The 25,645-nt window shown below is 58.4% G+C and overlaps 5 annotated features.

The window, feature by feature from the left end:
• Positions 4,154 to 4,453: a silencer, noted in NCBI's record as "silent region_17851". NCBI's record gives its function as "represses an Ori minimal core promoter by ATAC-STARR-seq in GM12878 lymphoblastoid cells {active_cell/tissue: GM12878}" and the evidence as "EXISTENCE:reporter gene assay evidence [ECO:0000049][PMID:35858748]".
• Positions 10,185 to 10,857: an enhancer, noted in NCBI's record as "H3K27ac-H3K4me1 hESC enhancer chr7:1458534-1459206 (GRCh37/hg19 assembly coordinates)". NCBI's record gives its function as "activates a minimal SCP1, AML or CMV promoter by ChIP-STARR-seq in primed H9 embryonic stem cells {active_cell/tissue: H9 hESC(primed)}" and the evidence as "EXISTENCE:reporter gene assay evidence [ECO:0000049][PMID:30033119]".
• Positions 10,858 to 11,528: an enhancer, noted in NCBI's record as "H3K27ac-H3K4me1 hESC enhancer chr7:1459207-1459877 (GRCh37/hg19 assembly coordinates)". NCBI's record gives its function as "activates a minimal SCP1, AML or CMV promoter by ChIP-STARR-seq in primed H9 embryonic stem cells {active_cell/tissue: H9 hESC(primed)}" and the evidence as "EXISTENCE:reporter gene assay evidence [ECO:0000049][PMID:30033119]".
• Positions 14,400 to 14,694: a silencer, noted in NCBI's record as "tiled region #11952; K562 Repressive DNase matched - State 4:PromP". NCBI's record gives its function as "represses a minimal TATA promoter and a strong SV40 promoter by Sharpr-MPRA in K562 cells {active_cell/tissue: K562}" and the evidence as "EXISTENCE:reporter gene assay evidence [ECO:0000049][PMID:27701403]".
• Positions 19,830 to 20,385: an enhancer, noted in NCBI's record as "H3K4me1 hESC enhancer chr7:1468179-1468734 (GRCh37/hg19 assembly coordinates)". NCBI's record gives its function as "activates a minimal SCP1, AML or CMV promoter by ChIP-STARR-seq in naive H9 embryonic stem cells {active_cell/tissue: H9 hESC(naive)}" and the evidence as "EXISTENCE:reporter gene assay evidence [ECO:0000049][PMID:30033119]".

Genomic DNA, 25,645 nt, shown 5'->3' on the forward strand with positions numbered 1-25,645 from the left:
TGGGGATCCCTCAGAGTGGCACCCATGTGGAGTGTCCACTTGGCACACAGTGTTGACACCCAGGCCATGGGTGTTTTAAGGGTACCTGGGACTTGTTTTAGTCTGATGTGGTGAGACATGCAGATGTGGAAATGCTGTCACGAGGAGGAAGTTATGATGCTCACGGTCCCCTGGAAACAGGAGACAGAGTTCTCGGGGCCACCCGGGAAGCACTAGGCTGCGTCAGAAGGCAGCCTCTGTAGATGGGGCGAGGGGGAAGAGCATTTCCTGGGGTTTCCTCGGAAAAAAAGAGGCCAGGCTGGGGAAGCAGGCTTAAGGCTGGGGGGCTGGGATAATGTTGGCAGGTTTTGCCTGTAGAGGCCGCCTCTAGCTGCCTGATGCCTGGCCGTGAGTGATTGGGGCAGCTGGGTGGTGGCCCGAGGGTGAGAGCCCACCGAGGAGGTGGCAGAGGTGGGCTGTGGACCGGGTTCTTGCACATATCAAAGGTAAGCTTTCGGGGAGCTGTTTGCTGTCTCTAGGAACAGGAGGCCCCTGAGTCCCCAATGCCCCAGGTGTCAGAGCATCAGAAACATGGAAAATGGCCAGGCACAGTGACTCGCACCTGTCATCCCAGCACTTTGGGAGGGGGAAGGATTGCTTGAGCCCAGTAGTTTGAGACCAGCCTGGGCAACGTAGCAAGGCACCCAATACAAAATTAGCCAGGCGTGCTGACATGCACCTGTGGTCCCAGCCACTCGGGAGGCCGAGGTGGGAGGATTGCTTTAGACCCATAAGCTGAGGCTGCAGTGAGCCATGATTGTGCCACCGCACACCAACCCGGGCGACAGAGCAAGACCCTGTCTCAACAAACAAACAAAAACACGAACAGAAATTTATAGTTCCACAGTCTGGAGGCCAGAAGTCCAAAATCAAGGTGTTGGCAGGGCCCCGTCCCTCCAAGCCCTCTAGGGGAGCAACTGTCCCAGGCCCCTCCCAGCTTTTGGTGGTGGTGATGATGCTTGGAGTTCCAGGGCTGGCAGCCGTTATCACTCCAGCCTCTGCTTCCGCCCTCACGTGGCCCTCTCCTCCCCAGGTGTCTGCCGACACGTGGTTTTTCCTCTTATAAGGACACCAGTCATGTTGGATTAGGGCCCACCCTAATGAGCTCACATTAACTTGAAGACAGCTACAATTGCTCTGTTTCCAATAAGGCCACATTCACAGGTATCAGGAGTTAGGACTTCAACATATTTTTTGGGGGACAATTCAACACATAACATGTGAATTATAGCGCAAGAAAGCTACTTTTTTTTTTTTTTTTTTTTTGAGACAGAGTCTCGGTCTGTTGCCTAGGATGGAGTGCAGTGGCGTGATCTCGGCTCACTGCAAGCTCCGCCACCTGGGTTCATGCCATTCTCCTGCCTCAGCCTCCCGAGTAGCTGGGACCACAGGCGCCTGCCACCACTCCCGGCTAATTTTTTTATATTTTTAGTAGGTACGGGGTTTCACCATGTTAGCAAGGATGGTCTCGATCTCCTGACCTCGTGATCTGCCAGCCTCGGCCTCCCAAAGTGCTGGAATTACAGGCGTGAGCTACCGCTCCCGGCCAGAAAGCTACTCTTTAAAAAAGAAGTTTTGCTGATGAGATGGCTCACGCTTATCCCAGCACTTTGGGAGGCTGGGGCAGGAGGATTGCTTGAGCCCAGGAATTCAAGACCAGCCTGGGCAACATAGTGAGACCCCATCTCTACAAAAATTTTAAAATTAGCCAGGTGTAATGGTGCACACCTGTGGTCCCAGCTATTTGGGAGGCTGAGGTGAGAAGGTCCCTTGAGCCTGGCAGGTTGAGGCTGCAGTAAGCCGAGATTGCACCACCGCACCCCAGCCTGGGTTAACAGCAAGGTCCAGTCTCTAAATAAATATAAATAAAAAATAGGCTGGGTGCAGTGGCCCATGCCTGTAATCCCAGCACTTTGGGAGGCCAAGGCGGGCAGATCACCTGAGATCAGGAGTTTGAGACCAGCCTGGCCAACATGGCGCAACCCTGTCTCTACTAAAAATAGAAAAATTAGCCAGGTGTGGTGGTCTGTGCCTGTAATCCCAGCTACTCGGGAGACTGAGGCAGGAGAATCACTTGAACCTGGGAGGCGGAGGTTGCAGTGAGCCAACATCGCACCACTACATTCCAGCCTGGGCGACAGAGCGAGACTCTGTCTCAAAAAATAATAATACTAAAAATAAAAATAAATAAAAATGAAAAGTTTTAACTAATAAACTATTAAAAGAGAGAGAGAGAGAGAAAAAAAAAAACAAAACAGACCCCATTGTGGGGAGCACAGAGCGTCCCAGTCCACCCTGAGTGACCTCCTAGAGCAGATGGAGCTCGGCTCAGGGAAGGCTTTGTGGCCGTGGCTCCTGGGCTGATCTCTGGACTAATGTTCCGGGGAACAACAGTGATAATAATATCCTGGCCCTGTCTATGTCCCCTCCCTCCCTGAATCACCCAGGCCTTCCTCTAAGCCAGCCCTGGCCTGGCCCTCAGCTCTAACCCCCAGCGCCCCTCCCCACAGCCCCCTGGGGGGCTCAGATTCCGCTCAGAGCCGCGGCAGTCAGGCCTGTCACGTGCCCACATCCCCAACTTGTAAAGTAACAACCCGTCGCACGCACAACCTCTTTGCACCCAAATTGTTCTCTGATCTGTGTAAACTGCAATTGATGCTGTGCCGCTTGATATTAATATCTTTTGTTTGTGTGTCAGGGTTCTGCAGAATCTAATTAAGAAGTGTTCTCTGCGTATCCGGGGTGTTCGAACAATTGTGCGGCGCCGACGATGCAAGCTGTTGACCTGCACAGATAAACCGTGCGTGCGGAGGAATCGGGGGCGGCGGACGGGGTGGGGGGAGTGTACATGGCTGTTCTTTTCTGCTGGGGCGCCCGGCGGGCCCTGCCTGTGGTTCGCCCTGTGTGCGGGCGGTGTGGGCGTCTTTGCCGCAGGGTGCTTGTCGTGGCAAGGGTTCTTTGTGTGTACTTCTGCGTTGACATGCATCACACCCACGAGCACATGTACATGCGCGAGGCCTCCCTGGGCAAGTGACTCCTGTCTCAACAGCCCTTTCCCAGCGTATGTGTTCACCTCCCTCACAACAGCCCTGTGAGGCAGCATCACTGGCCCATTGCACAGATGGGAGGTTGAGGCTGCTGGTGCTGGGGAAGTCACGTGTGGAAAGGCAGACGCTCCAAAGGGTACCAGATAAACCCACCTATTGGGCTCACCCCGGACAGATTATGACACGGGAACAGAGCATGCAGTCCGTCCTCAGGGGTAGGCTAAGCACTGCAATCCCACCGGACAGACAGAAAAACTGAGGCCCAGAGAGGGCAGGAGATTGCCCACCATACGCTGTGGACTGGAGGCAGAGCTGGGCCCTTCCTGACCCTCCAAGCCACACCCTGGGGTCCCTTTGGAGGGAATCACTTAAGCCCAGGTGGGACCCAGAGGCCAAGGCCGACTGTCCCTCCATCTAAGGTAACCTGGCTGTCCAGGGTGGCTTCGGAAGCCCCTGGACCTGGGGTCTTAGCCCCACCCATGGGTAACCCTGGCCCATGCCCACCCCTCTCCAACCTCAGTGGCAACCCCTGGGAAGTAGCGAACACCACGCAGGCACTCGGTAGGTGCAGGTGCTGAGGTCGATGTCACAGCTCTGGGGTCAGGGCCGCTGCCCTGGGATGGGTCTGAGCTGTGCACGGCATTGCCTGGTGCCCTCCCAGCTCAAGGCCTTGCCTGACTACAGATGCTGTCCCTGCCTCGGGCCTGCCTGGCTGACAGCGGGCATCTGGGCCAGCGCTGCAATGCTGCCAGGTAGAAGTGCTCCCTCCAGGCTGGGGGGACCTGCAACTCCCGCCCGGGAGTCCCTCAGACTTGGAGTGCTCTGAAGAAAGCAAGCCAGCGGCCAAGTGGGCTATGGGCCAGGTGCGGGAAGGCTCCAGACCCGGGGCTGCAGGGTTGGAGAAGGGCGCAGCAAAGGCCTGGAGACAGCCTGAACCAGGGATTCAGGATGGAATGGGTCTGGGTCAGGGAGCCAGGGTGACCGTGGGCCGCACAGGCCTGCGCGCGCGGGTGCACGTGCGTAATGGATGCACACGCATGCAGCTGGTGTGCGTGCAGTCGGGCGCACCTGTAACCGGTGCGCACCCCGCGTCTGGCGTGCAAGTGGGAGCACCTGGCCCAGCGCCCAGCGGGGCCTCGCCCGCCGCTTTCTTAGGAAACGCCGCAGCGCCACCTGCCGGCTACGCGGTCTCAGCTGGACGCGGGCGGGGAGGGCGCCGGGCCACGAGGCCCCGCCCACAGCCGGAGGCCCCGCCCCTAAAGACTATCTTGGTGCCCCGCCTCTTCAGACTCCGCCCGATTCCAGGCCACGCCCCTTGTAGGCGTGACCGAGGACGCTGGTACCCGGACCTGGACTTCGCAGGGTCTTGGAGGGGCGGGCAGTGGGGGATCTCCGCTTTGGGTCTCCTGGCTGCAAAGCGAGGACAACTATGAGCCTTAAACGCACACCAGGAGTGTAATAAGAGCATCTGCTGCGTCACTAACTCTTCCCATTTACCGATGAGGAAACCAAGACAGAGAAGTCAAGTCACCTGCCCAGAGTCACGCAGGAGAAAGTCGTAGGCCGGCTTTGAGCCCAGCATCCTAGTTGCTGAGTCTCTGCAATCAACGACTGCCCCCAACTCCTAGTAAATTCATCTTTATTTGTTAATTAATAGTTATTTACGAGAATAAACCCATCCAACCTCCCACCCCTTGCAATAGGTATCTGGGAAGTGATGGAGACAGGCATTCTGAGCTGTCACCAGTATCTTACATGGCCAGAAAGGTGGAGTTCAGGGAGAGGATTCTCAGGATTTGGGGGCAAAATGAGTTAGGAGACCGGACTGGAGTGGGCAGCCACCTCCAGGGCAGGCTGGGAGGCCGGGGCCCTGGGCTGCAGTGAAAACTCACTGAGCAGCCTTCAGCAGGTGCTTGACTCCCCGTGGGCCTCAGTTTCCCCATCTGTACAATGGGTTGGGGCGGGGTGGGAGATAAAACATCACTTTTCTCAGTTCTTCCCCAAACCCCAGACAGTGCAGGATTCCAGGAATCCCTGAAGGTCTGAGCCAGTGCAGGGACTGGGGGCTCAGGGTGGTCCAGCCCCGCGTGGGGTCCTTCCTGGTGCCTGTGGCTGTCTTTGGTGGGAATCCAGTGCCTCTGTCTACGGCAGCCGCATCTCCAGCCACGCCCCACGCCCCCCCCCCCCCCCGCCACCTCCCCCAGCATCTCACTCTAAAGGGGAGGCATCTTGGGTGGAGAGTACCGGGCTGCCAGGGACAGATGGCGTTGGCCCGGGTGTCAACACAGCAGGAGCCCCCGGACCAGCCGGGCAGAATCCACTGCTGTCCAGAGCCTCTGCCAAGCACAGTGGCAGGCCCTGAACTCAGGCTGCACCTGCTGGGTGGGGAGGCCTTGCCGGGGGCCCTGGGGCGGGGTGGAGAAAAGCAGCCTGGCTTGGCCACGTCCCTAACAAGCATGACCTTGGGCAAGTGCGTCCCTACCTCTGCCCAGCCTCCTCCCCGCCTGCCCCCCAACCAGGCCTGCTGTCCTGAGTCTCCTGTCCCTCCCCCAGGACACAGTCACACACAGCTCTACGCACACCTGGCTGTGCCCCCAGCTGGCTGTGTGGCCTTGGGAAAGTCGCTTCCCCTCTCTGAGCCTTGTTAGCCTCATCTGGAAAATGGGCCCAGGTGTGGAGCATAGGAAGGCAGATCTGCAGCCCGGCCTGCACACAGCAGAGTCTCAGGGGCCCTCATGTGCTGGTGATACGGGGGATGCCACGTTACTACTTCATTCCATCCCCACAACCAGCCTGAGGCCCAGGTCAGGTTGCCTTCCATGGTCCCGTTGCAAAGCTGGGGAAACTGAGGCTCTGAGAGGGGAGCCTGAAGTGGGCCTGTCCCTGAAGACCACAGCAGGCTGGACATGCCGTGGGCAGGAGCGGCCACCCTCACTCACTACCACAGGGCACAAAGCACAAACAGTCACACCCCCACACTGACGCATGCACACGCCCCTCGGGGCCACAGATAACAACAGAAGCAGAGTTAGAAACTTCTGTTCTCCATCCTTGGGTGTGGGTGCTGGGGGTGTCAGACCCTTACCACAGCTCAATCCTCAACTCTCCCCAGGGTGAGAAGGCCTGAGACCACAAGGCTCAGCACTGACCATGATGTCCCTTTGGGCTATCACCATATGCCTGACCCCGCCCCTCACACACACACCAAACACACACAGGGGTATCCAGGCTGACATCTGTCCACCCACTTGGTCTTGGTCAGGTGTGCTGCTAGGCTGAGCTAAGTCAGGTACCTGCTTGTGTGTGTTCAAATGCTGGGCAGCCAGGATAACCCTGTGAACATCCACTGCAATTGCTGGATGGGGATGGATGGATGAATGGATGGATGAGTGGGTGGGTGAATGGAGGGAGGGAGGGAGGGAGTGAGGGAGGGAGGGATGGATGGATGGATGGATGGATGGTTAGGAGGATAGGTGGATGGATGAGTGGGTGGGTGAATGGAGGGAGGGAGGGATGGATGGAGGGATGGATGGATGGATGGATGGTTAGGTGGATAGGTGGATGGATGAATGGATGGAGATGGATGGATGAGTGGATGGATGAATGGATGGATGGATGGGTGGGTGGGTAGGTGGGTGGGTGGATAGGTGGGCGGGTGGATGGATGGATGAGTGGGTGGATGGGTGGGTGGATGGATAGATGGATGGATGAGTGGGTGGATGGGTGGGTGGACAGATGGATGGATGGATGAGTGGGTGGATGGGTGGGTGAATAGATGGATGGATGGATGGATGGATGACTGGGTGGATGGATGGATGGATGGGTGGATGGATGGATGGGTGGATGGATGGATGTATGGATGTATGGATGGGGATGGATGAGTGGGTGGATGAGTGGATGGATGAATGGATGCATGGATAAATGGGTGGGTTGATGGGTGGGTGGATAGGTGGGTGGGTGGATGAATGGATGGATGGATAGATGGATGGGGATGGATGGATGGGTGGGTGGATGAGTGGATGAGTGGATGGTTGGATGGATGGATAGGGAGGAATAGATGGGTGAGTGGGTGGGTGGATGGGTGGATGGACGAGTGGGTGGATGGATGGATGAGTGGATGAATGGGGATAGATGGGTGGGTGGAGGGGTGGATGAGTGGGTGGATGGATGGATGGGTGGGGTAGATGGGTAGGTGGGTGGGTGGCTGGATGAATAGATGGGAATGGATGGATGGGTGGATGGGTGGGTGGATGGATGAATAGATGGGAATGGATGGATGGGTGGATGGATGGGTAGGTGGGTGGGTGGCTGGATGAATAGATGGGAATGGATGGATGGGTGGATGGATAGGTGGATGGGTGGGTGGATGGATGGGTGGGTGGATGGATGGGTGGGTGAGTGGATGGATGGGTGGGTGGATGGGTGAATGGGTGGGTGGGTGGATGGATGGATGGATGGATGGGTGGATGGGTAGGTGAGCGAGTGGCTGGATGAATAGATAGGGATAGGTGGATGGATGGATAGATGGTTACATGGATGGATGGGTGGGTGGATAAATGTGCGGGAGAAGGCATGGATGGATGGATGGAGGATGGATGGATGGGTGAGTAATGGATTGATGGATGAGTAGAAAACAGAAACCAAGAGAGGCTGAGGGCACTATGAGTAACCCCCCATTGTTTAGTAGTGGAGAGGGGTTGCTTGCCGGCTGCAATGAGCCCCATTCATCGATGAGGAAACTGTGCAGGAGGCAGGAGGTAACTGGTGCAGGGCCACACAGTGAGCTCTCGGTGGAGCCCAGGACCCTGTCCTCATGGAGGTCCCTGCCTGACCCTAGGTGGCACAAGGCACACCAGTGCCACACAGACCCTCAGAGACCCCAGCTGAGACCCTGGCCTCAGACAGCCCAGGCTTAAGTGCCATACACAGAAGGGGTGTCAGGGGCACCCTCACCTGCACTTCTTGCAGTCCCATCCAGGGCTCCCACCTCCGGATCTGTCCCTCCTCCCCAGCCCTCATTTCCAGCCTCAGTGGCCTTGGGGAACCAGCTGCCCCACCTGGCTCTCCAGACCCCTCTGACAACTGGAGCTGGACACGAGGTGGGAGGGTTCCCCAGCCCCAGGTAATTAAAGCGCATGGTTATGTAGAAGTTTGTAATTAAACACTCGCACATCTTCAGACATCCCAGCATGGCGCCTGATGAATTAATTACGAGGATGCCAGACCCTCAGGTTTTCCTCCTCACTGAGTATGGAGGGGTGGCCCTGAGCCTTCATGTCGGACAAACGAGTGGGGGGCAGGATGTCAGGGGAGCAGAGCCAGCTTCCACCACAGGCCCTTCTCCTGGCCCCTGGCTCTGCCAGCAGCCCACCCCCACCCAAGTACCTAGACCAGAAACAAGACATCCTCCCCAACCGCTCCAGTCTCAAAGCCGTAAGTTCCAGACCCGACGTCCTTGACCAGCACCCACCTGGCCACCACCCCAACTCCTCCCTCAAGCCTCTCCCACACCCAAGTCTTGTCCACCCCACCACCCTAAGGCGCCCACTCTCCCATCCCCTTTCTGCCCCTTCCTGTTGCCCCTTCTCCCGCCTCCCCAGAACCCAGATCCGATGATGCACTAGGAAGGGCACGTCACTTCTGTGGTCTCCCTCCCCAAGCCCAGAACCTCAATCAGACCACGAGAAAAGCCTCAACAAATCCAAGTCCAGGGACATTCTGCAAAATACCTGAGCAACACTCCTCAAAACTGTCAAAGTCACAGAACAGAGGAGCCCCAGGAGATTTGAGCATGCTGTGTCGCGTGGGCTCCTGGAGGTGGAGCTGGAGCAGAAAACGGGTAATAGGAGGCACAGGAAATCGGGGGAGAGTGTGGGGTTTCACGATGAGTCATGTGCTGATGTGGGTTTCTTAGCTGTGACAAACGCACCAAAGTAATGTAAGATGTTAGCATTAGGGGAGACCGTACTGGTGTACAGGAATTCTCTGCGCTGTCTTTGCAACTTTTCTGTACATCTAAATATTTTAAAATAAAAAGGTTCTTTTAAAAAGGGAGTTTGGACCAGGCACGGTGGCTCACGCCTGTAATCCCAGCACTTTGGGAGGCCGAGACAGATCATCTGAGGTCAGGAGTTCGAGACCAGCCTGGTCAACGCGGCGAAACCTCGTCTCTACTAAAAATACAAAAATTAGCCAGCCGTGGTGGTGGGCACCTGTAGTGCCAGCTACTTGGGAGGCTGAGGCAGGAGAATTGGTTGAACCCAGTAGGCGGAGGTTGCAGTGAGCTGAGATCGCGCCACTGCACTCCAGCCTGGGTGACAGAGCAAGACTCCGTCTCAACAAAAAGAAAAAAGAAAAAAGGGAGCTCGGGTAAGAGATCTGGTCCAAACAGGGCACAGTGTTCGCATCTGCTTAGTCCTGGTGATGGGTAAATGGCTGTTTACCCAACAGAATAACTGTTTCCTGTGCTTTTCTGCATTTGAAATGCTACCTAATTAAACATGTAAGAAAGAACAAACCCAGATGGAACGTCACCCCTGCCTGATACTCTCCAAAGGCTTAGTCTTTAGAATCACGTCCAATATTCTCACCCTGCAGACAGAACAAGAACCACCTGGCCCTCCATTCCCGCTCTGATGTCACACAGAGCCTGGCCTATCCCTAGGGCTCCCACAGTCTGCCCTCCACCACCATCTGACGTCACACAAAAACCTGGCCAATCCCTAGGGCCCCCACACTGCGCTCCACCCTCATCTGACTTCACTATAAAACCTGATCGACCCCTAGGGCCCCGCATTCTACGCTCCACCCACAACTGACGTCACACAAAAACCTGGCCAATCCCTAGGGCCTGGCACCCTGTGCTCCACCCCGATCTGACGTCACACAAAAATCTGGCCAATCCCTAAGGACTGGCACCCTGTGCTCCACCCCCCCCCCCCACCCCCCAGTGACGGCACACAAAACCTGGCTAATTCCTAGGGCCCCTGCACTCTGCTCCACCCCCATCTGATGTCACACAAAAACCTGCCAATGCCTAAGCCCCAGCACTCTGTGCTCCACCCTACTGACGTCACACACAGCCTGGCCAATTCCTAAGTTCTGGCACCCTGCGTTCCACCTGCCTCTGATGTCATCCAGAGCCCGGGGCCTTCCCCTTTTGCAGCTTCTGTGAGTCTAGTGCTGGGAGCCCTGTGGGTCGCAGCCAGCACCCCCAGAGGGGTCACCACTGTGTGCCTCACTGAACGTGAGCCTAGTGGTTCACAAAGCCCGCCCCACCCACCCAGGTCAGGGCTCAGGGCTGCCTGTGAGGTGAGCTTCGTTCTCCCATTTCACAGATGGGGAAACTGAGGCAGAGGGCAAACGCATCTGCCCAGTCCATTGAAGTGCTAGCGTTCTTCCACACTGCTCCCAGCCCTGGCTTCTCGCCTGTAAACTGTCTCGGACCAAGAATCCTGCCTGTACGCCCAGCCTGGCTGAAACACAGTCTCAAGGCACTCAGTGTTCCGGGCCCTGTTACCCCTCCAGCTCCCATAACCCCGTCTCCTCCTCCTCCTCGCCCTCCTCCTCCTCGCTGTCTCTGCACCACTTCCACCTGCCCGGGCCTTTGCACCTGCAGGTTCGTACCCTACGGGGTGTGCCCTGCCTTGCCCTGACAGCACAGCACTGCCCGGCCTCTGCTCTTCTCCACCTGCCATGGGCCTTTCACGGGACCTGAGGCCACACGCTCTGTACATGTGTGCGTCTGTGCATTGCCTGTTCCCCTCTGCTGGGAGGTAAGCAGGCCATGGTCTCCATTGCTATACCTGCTCGGAGCAGCCCTGGCAGGTAGTAAGCACCCTGTTCTTGGAAGAAGCCATGTCCAGGTGGGGGGGGCAGGTGTTGGGGGAGGCCTCTGATTCCGGCTAGGGCAGGGGTAAGGGTCTGGCAAGGCTGACCAGCATGCCCACCATGTGCCCCTCATCCCTGAATGCACCCACCTCCTCTGCTGGCAGGGCCAGGTCGCCGCCTCAGCTCCTCCAGGCCTGTTGGAGCGGCAGAGTCCAGAGCTGGCCAGGCTGCAGGAAACCCACCAGTATGGCCAGGTGGCTCCCCTGGTGGCTGCTTCCTGCCCAGCCCAACCTGGCTGCCACCAGCTCCCTCCACCTGCCTGCTCCGTGCAACCCTGGAGGGTCCCTGAACTCCTCGGAGCCCCGGTTTCCTCCTCCAAACAGTGGAGGCTCCTGTGTCCCAGTCCTGGTCTGGAGGAAGTTCCCTTAGCTGGGCCTGGCTGCTGTTCTGGGAGTTCATGGTCTGGGGACATTGCTACCACCTTGCTTTACAGAGCATGATCCAGGCTCCTCCCGGCGGCACCTGTAGTCAGAACTCGCTCCAACACAGGCGAGGAAACAGAGGGCCAGGGGGCAGAAAGGATGACTCGGTGACTCAGTGCCTCTCCCCATCTATTTCTCTCTCTCTTTTTTTTTTGGAGACAGAGTCTCGCTCTGTCGCCCAGGCTGGAGTGCAGTGGTGCGATCTCGGCTCACTGCAAGCTCTGCCTCCCGGGTTCACGCCATTCTGCCTCAGCCTCCCGAGTAGCTGGGACTACAGGCGCCCGCCACCACGCCTAGCTAATTTTTTGTATTTTTAGTAGATGTGAGGTTTCACCGTGTTAGCCAGGATGGTCTTGATCTCCTGACCTCGTGATCTGCCTGCCTTGGCCTCCCAAAGTGCTGGGATTACAGGCCACGCCCGGCCCCATCTATTTCTCTTGTAAGAACAGGCACATACATTTGCACTCAGGAAAAACCTCCATGAGCCGGGTGCGGTGGCTCACGCCTGTAATCCCAGCACTTTGGGAGGCTGAGGTGAGTGGTCACTTGAGGTCAGGAGTTTGAGACCAGCCTGACCAACATGGTGAAACCCCATCTCTACCAAAAATACAAAACTTAGCTGGGCGTGGTGGCGTGTGCCTGTATTCCCAGCTACTCAGGAGGCTGAGGCAGGAGAATTGGTTGAACCCAGCGGGTAGAGGTTGCAGTGAGCTGAGATCGCATCACTGCACTCCAGGCCTGGGCGACAGAGCCGGACTCCATAAAAAAAAAAAAAAAAAACCAAAAACCCGTTCATGAACACACGTGCTTGCATGAACACCCACGTATAATCATGAGTGTGCACACACTCCAGGGTTGGGGGTAACCCAGGCCCTGAGCCTAGCCTCCTTGGCTTAGTATGCACATGTGTGTGATGTGACTGATACGTAACACGCATCCCATGGGCGTCCCGTGCCAGGAATTGAGGGGGCCACACCCTACTCAACGCGGGGGACAGTCTCCGGGCTCCGTGGCTCACGGATGGTGGAGCGTGTCATTTCCCGCATGTGACACAGAGTGCGGACTGTGCAGAAGGCGGCTCTGTGCCTCGGAAGGCAGGGTGCAGAGGCGTGCAGCGCTCACCACGGGGATGCGGCCGGCTCCTGGGACGGGACCTGGAACGCGGATGTGGCCGGATGTTTAGTGGGTGCCGTGCACGGTGTCTGACACATCAGATGTGATGTATACCTCGCACGAAAGACGTTGTGTTCATCAACAAATCAATTCAGTGACACTTTGCTGAGCACCTGCTATGTGCCAGGCCCCGGGTATACAGCGGCGAGTGGACAGATCAAGTCCCTGCCCTCGTCGGGGGTGGTCAGGGAGACCCACTGAAGACTTGGGGAGGTCGGGGCGACCACTCCAGGACAGAATGTTGTGGACAGCAGGGCCATCAGGCAGTGTGCCCGGGTTGTCCGAAACCTGCAGAGGCCAGTGCTGCCAGAGTAAGCAAACGGCAGGGTGTCCCGAGGGCCAGGGGGCAGATGGCAGGCCTTAAAGCCACACAGGTGCCCCATGCCCTGACACAGCCCTGGCCTCTGGGTGACAAGCACCTGAGGGGCTGTCTGTGGTCCCAGGACATGGGAGGCCAGGCTGCTAGAGTCTGAGGACCGGCGGGGTCCTGGGTGCCCTGGTGCCCCTGCACAAGGCTGGTTCCCCATCTTTGGAGGTTTGCTAACTGCCCCCCATACCACAAGACTGGCTGGCCCCGCAGAGGGATGGCAGTGGCACGGAGTGAGACCTGAGGGGGTGGCCAACAGTCTTCAGCATCTGTGCAGCCCAACTCCCATTGTACCAAAGGGAGACTGAGGCTTGAAGAGGATGAGGCCTGGCCCAGACCCTTCAGAAATGGGACAAGCTGCTGGGACGAGCTCTTGGGTCCTCAGTCTCCCTGGCCAGGTGTGCACAGGTAAATAGGCAGGTGTGTGGCTCAGTTGGAGGGCAGGTGTCCCCGGGCTCGGCCAGAGCATTTGGGTGGCAAAAGCTTGGCCAAAGCCACAGCTCCCAGCCAGTCCCCGCTGAAGGCCCCGTGAGGCCAGCTGGGCCGGCCACCCAGGCTCCCAGAAAGGGAAACTGAGGCTCAGAGAGGGCCGCCCCTCGCCTAAGGTGCTCCAGTGCAACTGAGTCAGACTGGGTCCTCAATCTTCCCACCCTGTCCCCCCACCCCAGCCTCTGTGACAGAAAGAGACCAGGGCCCTGGCCAGGGGCCGAATCCCACCCCAGCCTCACTCTGCCCCAACCCCCCAAGGAACAATTTACCTTTCGGAGCTGGTCCAAGATATTAATTAAGATAAATCTACCTCAATTTTGAGATTCTCTTATCATGTAATTTATCAAAATTATGTTAATTATTTCTGTAGGGCAGCAAAATTATTACCTCTTTTGTGTCTGATTTGTATTAATATTCATAATTTAATAATTCAGCATCTTGGCCATCTGGTCCGGGAACAGGCTCCCTTCCCTCCCTCAGTCTGAGCCAAAGCTTCCCCATCACCCCCGCCGGTGTCCCCAGGGCCCCACCCGCCCTGTCCCCGGTGTCTTCCCTCCGTCCAGCCCTGCAGACGCTGCCCCCTGCCCCCTGCCCCCTGCCCCAGCCCTGATGGCCCCGCCGGCCCCGAGGCACAAACAGGTACTCGCACAGGTACATGCACGCCCTCGCCACCCCCGCTTGGCAGGTGAGCCAAGCTGAATTGACATTTTCCACACTTTGTGAGTTTTACACTGTAATTTGACATAATTAATGCCTACATTACTGCTGATAATTTAGCTAGTTAATTAAACTCGGAGGAGATAATTAAGGAAAGGCTACTGCTTGGATTGCTAATTGTTTTTGTCATTATTTCAGGGGGCCGACAGCTGCTGGCTGAGTCATCCTGTTTTGTCAGCTGATGGGTCATGTGACACAGGGGTCCCCCAGGGGCCCCCCACTTCCAGGGGAGGGAGGAGCGCAGCTGGCTACCTGGCTGCTGCCTGGAGCCTCGCCAAGCGCTGCTGGCTGCTCTGGTCTGGCCTCACCCGCTCCAAGCAACGACAGCTTCCCACGGTCCCTGGGGCCTTCTGAGCCCGGCTGAGAGCTCTGGCCGGAGGCACACCCAGGTCAGCCTAAGCCAAGGAGAAGGGGGCACCCCCAGCCCCTGCATCCAACCCTAAGACACGAAGTGGCACCTGGCGGCATCTCAGCCTTCTGCAGTGGTCAGATAAGAAGCAGAACTTTCTGAGCCTGCTGGAAGCAGAATGGATGAGCCCACATTGCAGAGAATGACAGGGAAACTGTGGGAGTAACAGAGAGGGAGAGAAAAGGGGGAGTGGGGAGAGGAAGAGAGAGGGGGGAGAGAGAGAAACAGACTGAGAGAGAGGGAGAGAGAGACAGAGAGGGAGAGAGGGAGAGGGAGAGAGAGACAGAGAGAGGGGGAGAGGGAGAGACAGACAGGGAGAGACAGAGACAGAGAGATGGAGGGAGAGACAGGGAGGGAGCGACAGAGGGACGGAGAGATGGAGGGAGAGAGAGACAGAGAGGGAGAGACAGAGACAGAGACACAGAGGGAGAGACAGAGAGAGGGACGGAGAGACAGAGACAGAGTCAGAGACAGAAGGGGAGGGAGAGACAGAGACAGAGAGGGAGGGAGAGACAGAGACAGAGGCAGAGACAGAAAGGGAGGGAAAGACAGAGAGGGAGGGAGAGAGGGAGACAGAGAGAGGGAGGGAGAGAGGGAGACAGATGGAGGGAGAGACAGAGAGGGAGGGAGAGAGGGAGACAGACAGAGGGAGGGAGAGACAGAGACAGAGAGGGAGGGAGAGACAGACTGAGCTGGGAGTGAGGGGGAAGAGGCGGCAGGAGCAGCACGTGGAGAAGCTGTCAAGCTCACCTTCCCCAGCCCCATCCCGCCCACCCTCCTGGGGACTGGTTGACTCAAGGTCAGAAGAAGGGGCTACGCCTGGGGAGGCGTGTCATTGTCACTGTTGTCCTCACTTCCATGGAAAACGGGGTCTTGCAAAGGTCCCACAACAGGGAGGTGGCCCCAGACCCAGTGCAGGCCTGGGGAGGGCCATGGCGCAGGAGGCTGGCCCAGTGGCTCTGCCCTGGTCGGGGATGGGATGGCAACTCTGCTTCCTGGGCCTCAGCATCCCCACTGACTTCAAGAGAGTGGACGGGGCTGGACAACCCCCAGGCCCCAGCGCAGACGGTGTGGGGAATTGAAGGACATCCCGTCGGCGTGACATCAATGGAAACCAATAGGGTGTTGACTTGGCTCTCAGGAAATTCAAGTCAAAGAGGCTTACACGACCCTGGATTCATTATCCTTCCCAACAAGAAATCTACACATAAGAAGGTTCTAGACTGGCTAATTCAGGGCTCAGTGACACCAACAGGAGGTCAGCAAAGACCCAGCAGCCTTCCCTGTTTCTGCCCAGCTCGTCTCTGCTTGGCGGCCTTACCATCCCTCATGGTCCCAAACTGGCTGCTGTGGCACCGTGAGTCCTGTGTACCACCACAGCACCCCAAATACCAGATGGCATCCAGCAAAGTTGGGGGCTGTGTCTGCCACATAATCATACTATGTTCTTAATGGGAGGTTTCCAGCGGACTTAGAATCCCAAGACTTTCTTCTGCTGAACCCTTGATTTTCTTTCCTCTGCTGGTACCAGCTGTAGCTTGGACCACAACAACTGCCTTTCTCACCACAGCAAAGCACTGCCTCATGGAACCCTTAATCAGTAGATTCTGACTTCAGAAAGAAGGGTTCCCTTAGCAAATCCCTAATTCCTGCCTTGAGCTTTCAGATTGGCTACCTTCAACCTAAACTCAACCCTCTCTCTTTTTTTTTGAGATGGAGTCTCACTGTGTCGCCCAGGCTGGAGTGCAGTGGCACGATCGTGACTGACTGCAGCCTCAAACTCCCAGGCTCTAGCAATCCTCCCCCCTCAGCTTCCTGAGTAGCTGAGACTACAAGTGCATGCCACCATGCCTGGCTAATTTTATTTTATTTTATTTATTTTATTTTTTTTTTTTTTTGACACAGAGTCTTGTTCTGTCACCCAGGCTGGAGTGCAGTGGCCTGATCTCGGCTCACTGCCATTTCCGCCTCCCGGGTTCAAGCGATTTTCCCAGCTCGGTCTCCAAATAGCTGGGATTACAGGTGTGTGCCAGCATGCTTCGCTAATTTTTGTATTGGTAGTTGAGACAGGGTTTCTCCATGTTGGTCGCAAACTCTCGACCTCAGGTGATCCACCTGCCTCGGCCTCCCAAAGTGCTGAGATTACAGGCGTGAGCCACCACACTTGGCCTAATTTTTAAAAATTTTTGTAGAAATGGGGTCTCACTATGTTGCCCAGACTCATCTCAAACTCCTGGGCTCAAGCGATCCTCCTACCTTGGCCTCCCAGAGTGCTGGAATGGCAGGCATGAGCTTCCGCACCTGGCCTCCTGCCCACATCTTGATCTCAGACTCTGGCCTCTAGAAGTCTAACTGTTCCTTGAAGCCCCCCATTTTCGGTACTTTGTCACTGCAGCCAGACATCACTCATGCATCCCCAATATCCATTCCCCACCTCCCCTTTTAGCGGCCACAGCAAGCCCCAGAGGGAACTACATTCCCCAGCATCCCTTGCAGCCTGCCCTGGCCATGTGACTATATTCTGGCCAATGAGGATAGAGCAGGCCACACCTGGTGGGCCCTGGATGTCAGCGAGGGGGTTATATGTCCTTGGTTTCTGCCCCCTGGACCTCACACCCACAGCCAGAGCTGGCGTCGAAGACCACCCTGGTCCCATGTCTCTCCACCTAACGCCCTCCGGGCCCCACCCCACCATCCTGCCCCTCTGACCTCTCCCAGCCTTTCCACTCGGACGGAGTCCATGCCTGGCCAGAACTTGCAACTCTCCCTGGCCTCAGGGCCCCTGCCTGGCTCAGCCGCAGCCCTCCCACCAGGCTGCCTCTCCCTCCCCTCAGCACCCTCCCCAGGGCCCCACGTCCCTGCAGAGCCCCGGCCCCCAGGACTGCCATTCTCTTTATGCCTCCACCAGGTCCTCGAGGACAGGAGCTGGTGGGTCTCTTGCTGGTGTGGGGCTGTGGTACCAGCGGGTGGCCTGGCATGGAGGAGATGCTCAATTAAAAGAACGGAACAAAGGGTCCGGATGTGGTGGCTCACACCTGTAATGCCAGCACTTAGGGAAGCTGAGGCCAGTGGATCACCTGAGGTCAGGAGTTCGAGACCAGCCTGACCAACATGGCAAAACCCCATCTCTACTAAAAATACAAAAATTAGTTGGGCATGGTGGTGCACGCCTGTAATCCCAGCTACTCCGGAGGCTGAGGCAGGAGAATCGCTTGAACTCGGGAGGCGAAGGCTGCAGTGAACCAAGATCGTGCCATTGCACTCCAGCCTGGGTGACAGAGCGAGACTCCATCTCAGGAACAAAAAGGATGGAATGAAGGACGAAAGGATGAACAAACATTTCCGGGAGAGCGCTGACAGCGGCCGAGGCTGCCCACCTGGACCTTCAATGATGTGGCCGTGGGCGGCGTCCACGGGACAGAATCTCCCCGTGACTAGCACCCACTAGTTTCATCCCATGGGGGTGTGTGTGGGCCTGGGTTGATGGGGTCCTGGGGGGACAGGGTCCTGCTGTGAAGCTGGACTTAGCCTAGAGTGTAACAGGAAACCCCAGAGGGCTTCTGCAGGGGCCACCAAAACACTGAGCTCACTTGGGGAGGGTGGGGAGACACGGAGAGTCCTGGAGTCAGGGGCTGGTGGAGGGGAACGCTCAGACCCAGGAAATCGTGTGGGAGAAAACGGACAGGATGTGGACGAGGGAGGGGCTACCATGATGGTGGACACCCCAAAAATGGTGAGCAGGATCTCAGGAGACCCTGCAATGTGCCAGAACACCCCCGTCCACAGAAATGGAACCCGAGCCACAATGAATGGGCCACACCTGCCATTTTCAATTTTCTAGTAGCTGCGTTTAAAAAAAGTAAAAAGAACGAAGCGAGAGCCAGGCACGGTGACTCATGCTTGCAGCCTCAGCTACCTGGGAGGCTGAGGCAGGAGGATCACTTGAGCCCAGGAGTTTGAGATCAGCCTGGGCAACATAGCAAGACCCCAGTTCTACAAAAAAATGCCTGTAATCCCAGAATTTGGGAGGCTGAAGCAGGAAGATCGCTTGTGTCCAGCAGGTCAAGACCAGCCCGGGCAACAGAGTGAGACCCCATCTCTACAAGAAGTTAAAAAATTAGCCAGGCGTGGTGATGCACGCCTAGAGTCCCAGCCACTTCGGAGGCTGAGGTGGGAGGATCGCTTGTGTCCAGCAGGTCAAGGCTGCAGTGAGCTATGATCACACCACTGGACTCCAGCCTGGGCAACAGAGCAAGACCCTGTCCCAAAAATAAATAAATAAATACATTTTTATAATTGCTAGCCTGATGGCTTCTTTTCATCTTAGAGACCGCGAAACCCCCAACAGCTGCTCTCGGCTACCAGGGAAAGGGCCTTGTTGAAGTGCAAAACTGAAGCAGAAAGTCTTTGCTTCCACGCCCGCCCCTGCAGGCCGAGTCCCTGTCCTCTGGGCCTCCAGGCCACTTAGTGTTAGACCCAGCCTCCGTCCCGCTGGCCCCAAGGGTGGCTTTCTGGGACTGTGTCCCCGGGCCTGCCTCTTCTGCTCTCCTCGGCTTTCAATTTGCTGTGACTTGTGTGACTGCATCCTTCTCCCTCTTAAATATTTAAGGTGGCCGGGCGCAGTGGCTCACACCTGTCATCCCAACATTTTGGGAGGCCAAGGCGGGCGGATCACCTGAGGTCAGGAGTTCAAGACCAGCCTGGCCAACATGGTGAAAGTCTTGTCTCTACTAAAAATACAAAAATTAGCCAGGTGTGGTGGCGCATACCTCTAATCCCAGCTACTCGGGAGGCTGAGGCAGGAGAATCACTTGAACCTGGGAGGCGGAGGTTGCAGTGAGCCGATTGTGCCACTGTACTCCAGCCTGGGCGACAGAGCGAGACTGTCTCTCTCTCTCTCTCTCTCTATATATATATATATATAATATTTAAGGTGGCAATTCTTAAAATGGGAACATGCATCTGCTGAAATCCCTCCGCCGTCCCTGGTATATCCTCGGACCTTGATCCCAGCCACCGCCTGTGTGCAGATGAGGCCAAGTCCATCTTGCCAGGCACTGACCCCGGGCCTGCTGCTCCTGCTCACAAAACCAATCGCCCCTTTTCTGGAAAGTTCTCCCCCGTAAGTCGAGACTAGAAATGGCCCATATGGAAATATAATGTTGTTAAAACCACTGATTAAGTTTTACACAACTGTGTGAGAGCAAACGAAAAGGTTTTAGCTTTTTAATTTAAGAAAAGAGGAATGTGATATAATTTCAATTTGTGATAAGATGAGATGTTCTCGATATTGCAGTTTCAATTGGATTATATCCTAACGTGCTTTATAAAGTGTCAGGCCGGCTGCCGACGAAGGGGTGTGTGTGATTATCTTTATTAATAATCCGGTGGGCTGGTGTTTTTTCTATCCGTCTTCATCAGTGTTTCCAGCCCACCTGGGAGACCTCGTTAGCGCAGAATCCAAAACCGTGACCTGAGACGGCAGGGCTGTGATCGTCACGGCAGGCCGGCCCGGGGGGAAACACCTAGGTGGACCGACAGACAGACAGATGGGGTGTCAGGACCCATCACAGCCAGCCAGACAAAGGCCTCTGCCGGGAGGGTCCCCGGGGAGCAGGGCCCTGGGAGTCCAAGCTCCAGACCAGTAGGAGCCAGGGCAGCTTCAGGGTGAGGGAGGTTCACCCAGCAGGAGGCCCGCAGACAGGAGCAGGGCCCGGACGTATGATCTGGCTGTGCCCCTCCTGGCGGGGTCTGCAGGGCCGAGGGGGCCACCCAGAGCTCATGTCCACCTCCCACCTGATGCCCCAGCACCCGGGACCCCAGAATTCCCTGAGCGCACACCCTGAAACCCCCTTCGAGTCCTCCTGAGGCCTTCCCAGCCCTGGCGTGGAGGCTCCCAGGCCCGAGGTGGGAGGCTCCTCCCTCCCAAAGCTAAACAGGGCTTCCGGGGAGGAGAAGTGGGGGGAGCTTCGGGCTCAACTCTCTCCCGGGCCCCACAAAGGTGAGGGTGGGCCTGGCAGGGAATGGCCGCTGGGGAGCAAGCCTGCATGGCAGCCGTCAGCCTCCTGCGTCTCAGGCTCCAGAGGAGACCCCTTCAGCCCCCCTGCGTCTTGGGCTCCAGAGGAGGCCCCTTCTCCATGATTCACCCGAGAGAAGCAAGGCATGGCTGTCCCTGGGGTCCCCGTGAGGCCTTGGAAGGACGTGGAGGGGCAGGAAGAAGCCAGAAGACACAGGAAAAGCTCCTCCTTCCCAGACACCCTCACAGCGGCCGCTCGAGGTTGGAAGGAGGCCAGGCTGCAGAGGTGCAGGCCACAGACATTTCTACCTGGGGGTAACTGTGGGCTTCCCAGAGCCCCCCCACCCAGGGAGCCCCCCAACTGGGGCCGTGCAGCAGAGCCACATGGGGGGCCCTCACTGGGAGGAGTCTGAGCTCTGCTCCCTGCCTCCTCCCAGATGGAGGCCAAGGCACAAGAACCAGGCCCTGCCCACTCCTGCCATGGGGCCCTGGGCACTCCGTGACTCAGTTTCCCCTCCTGTCACAGGGACAGGGTGTTGCCCACGACTCCCTAGTTTCTGTGAGGGGCTTCATGGCACAGGGCGTGGCCATGCCCCCATCGGAGACCCCTCCAACTCTTGCCCCAGCCAGGAGCAGCCCCTCTGTCCCCACCCCAAGCTGGGCCCACCTTGGCAGGCTCAGGGACTGGGAAGGTCCCTCCCCTCTCTGGCCTCAACACCCTCCTCTGAAAACGGGTCTGGGGGTAGCTGAGGTGCTGTGGGAAGGGCCAAGCCAGTTCCTGTGCATCGGGGCGGGGCTGGAGCAGGAGGCCTGGGCAGGGCAGATGGGGCGGCAGGGGTGAGGGGGCCCCACCATGGAAGCGGCTGAGGTCTGCTCTGCATGTCAATTCCCCGCTCCCTGCGGGGCAGACCAGCTATGACATTCCCAGGCCCCGGCCGGGACCCGCAGCTTACACAGATCAGGGTGGGGGGCGGTCTTTGGGCCCGGCCGGGCTGTGCTCATCACTCGGGGCCAGGGCCAGGCTCCCTCTCTGGGCCCCAGGGAACAGGGCAGCCCCCCGTTGTGGGATGCCCGGAAAATCCCCCAAGAGACGTTGTGCTCTCTTCCCGAGTCCCTCCCTGTCCCTCCCCTGCTCAGCCCAAGTCTGGGTAGGGCAGGAGGTGCCTGGTGTGTGCCCGCTGGCAGTGGCTCCACTGCCCACCCCACGAGACCTGATTCAATCCTCCCACCCCGGGCAGGGCAGGGGCAGCCCCGGGGGTCCCACAAGTACGAAACCAGTCAGGCTCAAGCAGGTCTGTCTCCCTGGACCAGTGGACCAGGTAGCAACCCTGGGCCAGGTGCTAGCCCCCTTGACAGGTGAGAAGACTGAGTCCTGGAGTGGCGTTGAGCCCTGGTGTCATTCATTCATTCAACAAATCCTCATCAGGCTCCTGCCGTGTGTCAGGCACTGTTCTAGGCGCTGAGGATGGCGTGGCAGAAAGACGGAGGAGCCGGGACCTCCGGAGGATCCGTCACAGAGAGGAAGCCCAAACAAGCATCTAAACATAGGTGCGTTCCGAGTGTTGGCAATAAACCAGGGTGGCCGTGTGCTCACGCCTGTCATCCCAGCAGTTTGGGAGGCCAAGGCAGGAGGATTGCTTGAGGCCAGGAGTTCAACACCAGCCTGGGCAACATGGCAAAACCGTGTCTCCACAAAAAAAAACTTTAAAAATTAGCCGGGCGTGGTGGCGTGCGCCGGGTGTCCCAGCTACTCGGGAGGCTGAAGTGGGAGGATCACTTGAGCCCAGGAGGTCAAGGCTGCAGGGAGCCGTGATCACGCCACTGCACCCCAGTCTGGGCAACAGAGTGAGACCCTGTCTCTAAAAAGAAAGAAAGAAATCAGGGTGAGGGGCAGGAGCTTCTCCGAAAAGGGCAGTTAAGCAGAGATAGCAGGATGCCAGCTATGTGGAGTGCAGGGGCCCCAGGAGCAGGACCAGCAAATGCAAACGCCCGTGGCCAAGGCCCGGCAGCCGGAGCGGAGGGGGCAAGGGTGACAGAGGTGAGGCTGGAAGAACTCCTGGGAATCAGCCCAAGCCTGCCCTGGCTTCGCAAGGGGTGAACACAAGTCCCCACCAGCTGCCCCCACCCTCCCACAGACCAGTGCCCTGTAATGGCTGGGCTGGCCCCCTGTGCCCGGCCTGGAGGGGCCACTCAAGTCCAAGTCCAAATTCCAAGCATCCCAGTGGAGACTCTGCTTGGTCCAGCCTTGCCTCCCTCCTTGTCCCTCCTGACGCAGCCACACGGGGCCAGTGTCAGCTCCCCACCCCAGAGCTCACCAGAAGGACCACACCGGTCCCTGAGCCCAGAACACTCCTCAATCCAGCCCTTGCTCCCCAGACCTGAGGCTGTAGTATTGAGGCCAGTGCAGATACAGGGGCCGACGGGGATGTGGGTCAGGGAACAGCTCTTCCCCTTCTCTGCGGCCCCACCCACCCCCATATCCATTCAGGAAGACTGGCTGTTCCTAGCCATGTCTGTAGAGAGAAAGCCTCTGATGTGCATGGACTGCCTGCCACGTGCACAGGCACGAGACGCTGGCCCGGAGTCTCTGGCAGGTGTGGGTGACGTCCAGCCAGGCCACTGGGGAACTGCGTGCCTCTGCCCTCCCTGAAAGTTGTGAGGGGTCATCTAGGGTGGGTGGGGCCCGGGCTGAAACTCTTCCACATTGGGGTTGGGGCAGCCTCTGCAGGAGCCGGGCGGCGGCGCAGCCAGCCCCACCTGTGCCCGAGTGGCTGCTCAGGGGTTCCCACGCCCATCCTCACAGCCTCCTGCAGCACAGGCAGCACAGGCATCACAGGGCCTGGCCAACGCCCATGGCCCCAGGGCTGCGTTCCTGCCTGTCTCTCCATGATGGTGTCACCGGGGTCTGCAGGTGCTGGGCCCCTGGTGGACAGCAAGGACATCCCGCAGGGCTGGCTTAGTGCCTGGCAGACCTGACCACTTGTTGCAGGGGCTCTGATCACTGAGCACCAACTGTGTGCCCAGCCTGGAGCGCACCTGGCACCCCAGGGCTGCTTCTGAGGTCCCCAGATGCAGGGGGCTGATGGTGGGGGCGGAAGCTTCCTGGCCCTGCGGTGGGACACCCCCAGGTGTGAGTCCACAGCAGGACCGAGCCCCAGGTGCCCACGCCCCTAACTTGCTGGACAACACTCCCTTCCCGTTCTGGTCTCAAAAATGCTACGCAGCCCCCTGCCCTGGCCCCGCCTCGCTTGCTGTGTGACGTGGGAGAGCCGTAGCCCTCTCCCAGCCTCAGTTTCCCTGTCTGAAAAACGGAGCTATTCCAGGCTCCCGGCTGCCCCTCTCCACTAAGTGGCTCTCTGCCTCCCCCTGGTGGTGAAGAGGCCACACTGCCGCGGGTCAGGCCTTACGACGTGAGCACGGGGCTGAGATCCCAGGGGGACCCACGGGGCTGAGATCCCAGGGGGACCCACAGGCTCAGCTCCGGGACCCGGTCCAGACCGCCCTCCACGGCGTCATGCTCCTAACACAGCAGAGGCCCTGGGGCTTCTGCTCAGAACCACCCCAGGCACCCAGTGCCTGAGGAACGAGGCCACCTCGCTGCACCTGGAAGGTCCCTGCCGGCCCAGGTCCTGACAGAGCCCCTCTCTCTCCATCACCCGCTCCGCCTCACCTGACCCTGACCCCGGCCCCGCCCCAACCTGCCCCACCACACATCTTCAAGCTCCCAAGATCACTGCCTATGCTGTTCCTGCAATAGGGCACACCCTGCCCATCCACCGAGAGACCCCTACTCCTCGACACCCAGGTGAGACCCCCCCCTGCAGAAGTCTCCTGGGGGCTCCAGGGTCCCACTGCTGCCAGCCACTGCCTCCCAGTCCTCGGAGGGCACAGGGAGTTTCCACCAACACACTCGGTCCCAGTGGCCTGACTCCAAGAGAGGCCTCAGGGCCAGGCAAAGCACGACCCCGTTCCCCACTCATTGCTGTGTGCAGGTGACCCATGGCCTCATCTGGGGGAGCCCCTTTCCCTCCACGGGGGCCCCGAGTGGCTGGCAGAAGCAGGGGGTACAGAGGGAGGCAGCGGGGGTCTCGCTGTCAGCAGAGGGCAAGAGAGCACCTCCGTGCTCCTCCACCCTCATCACTGCCCGAGGCACACCGGTGGGCCCCTCTCATCCTCACACGGCCCCCAGGCAGCCTATGTCACCAAAGGCTCAGAAAGGGCAGTGCCCTAGCCCGAGGCCAAAGAGCTGCCAGGAGCAGAGCTGTGACTGCAGAGGCTGTGCTCCATCCGTGCACCCCAGCCCACCCTCTCTTCCATGCCCCACACCCAGCTCACGTTCCAGGAGTCTTGAGACCCTCAAAGGCACAGTGAAGGCCATGGAATGCCACAGGCCTGCCCAGCACAAGCTCCCCAGGGCCCACGCGCACACGGCAGGGGCTCCAGGCTCTGAACCTGCTCTGGCCCTGCTGGGACCCGTGGGGTCCCGACCCCCCCAGCCAGCAGGTGGAGAACACTGGTGCTTTGCCATGGCTGAGGGTTCCCCAGGACCGCCGCAGAGGCTCCTACAGCAGCTGAAACAGCGCAGCAACAAGCAGCTGAGGCCCGCCCCTCCCCGCACAGATGGGCAAACTGAGGCTTACAGGGACGCTGCACTCCTGACTCAGCGCTCCTCCCACGACATCCACTCTCAGTGGGGGTCAGAAAGGATGGGGCACCCCACATCCCGCCCTGGCCACCAGGAAGTCTCCCTGACCAGGGGCCACTGCTTACAATCCCCCATCCCAGCCCCAGTCCTGGGAGAACGAGGTCACAGCTCTCAGGCCACGGATACATGGCGACCCAGCACCCAAAGTCTCCAGCCTGTACCGACGTCTCCTCTGAGGCTCCCACCAGCCCATCTGTGCCAGGAAGCTATGAAAGGGCCCACCTTCGAGGGCCAGGCCCTGAGAGGGTCGGCTCCTGCCCGAGGCCACAGAGCACGTCCGTCCTGCAGGCAAGAGCTGGGAGGCAGGCGAGACCCCAGGCAGGTGCGGGGCCGCCCAGGGGCACCGAGGCAAACACGGAGGCACGTAGGAG

Source organism: Homo sapiens, chromosome 7 (assembly GCF_000001405.40).
Source record: "Homo sapiens chromosome 7, GRCh38.p14 Primary Assembly".
NCBI lineage: Eukaryota > Metazoa > Chordata > Mammalia > Primates > Hominidae > Homo > Homo sapiens.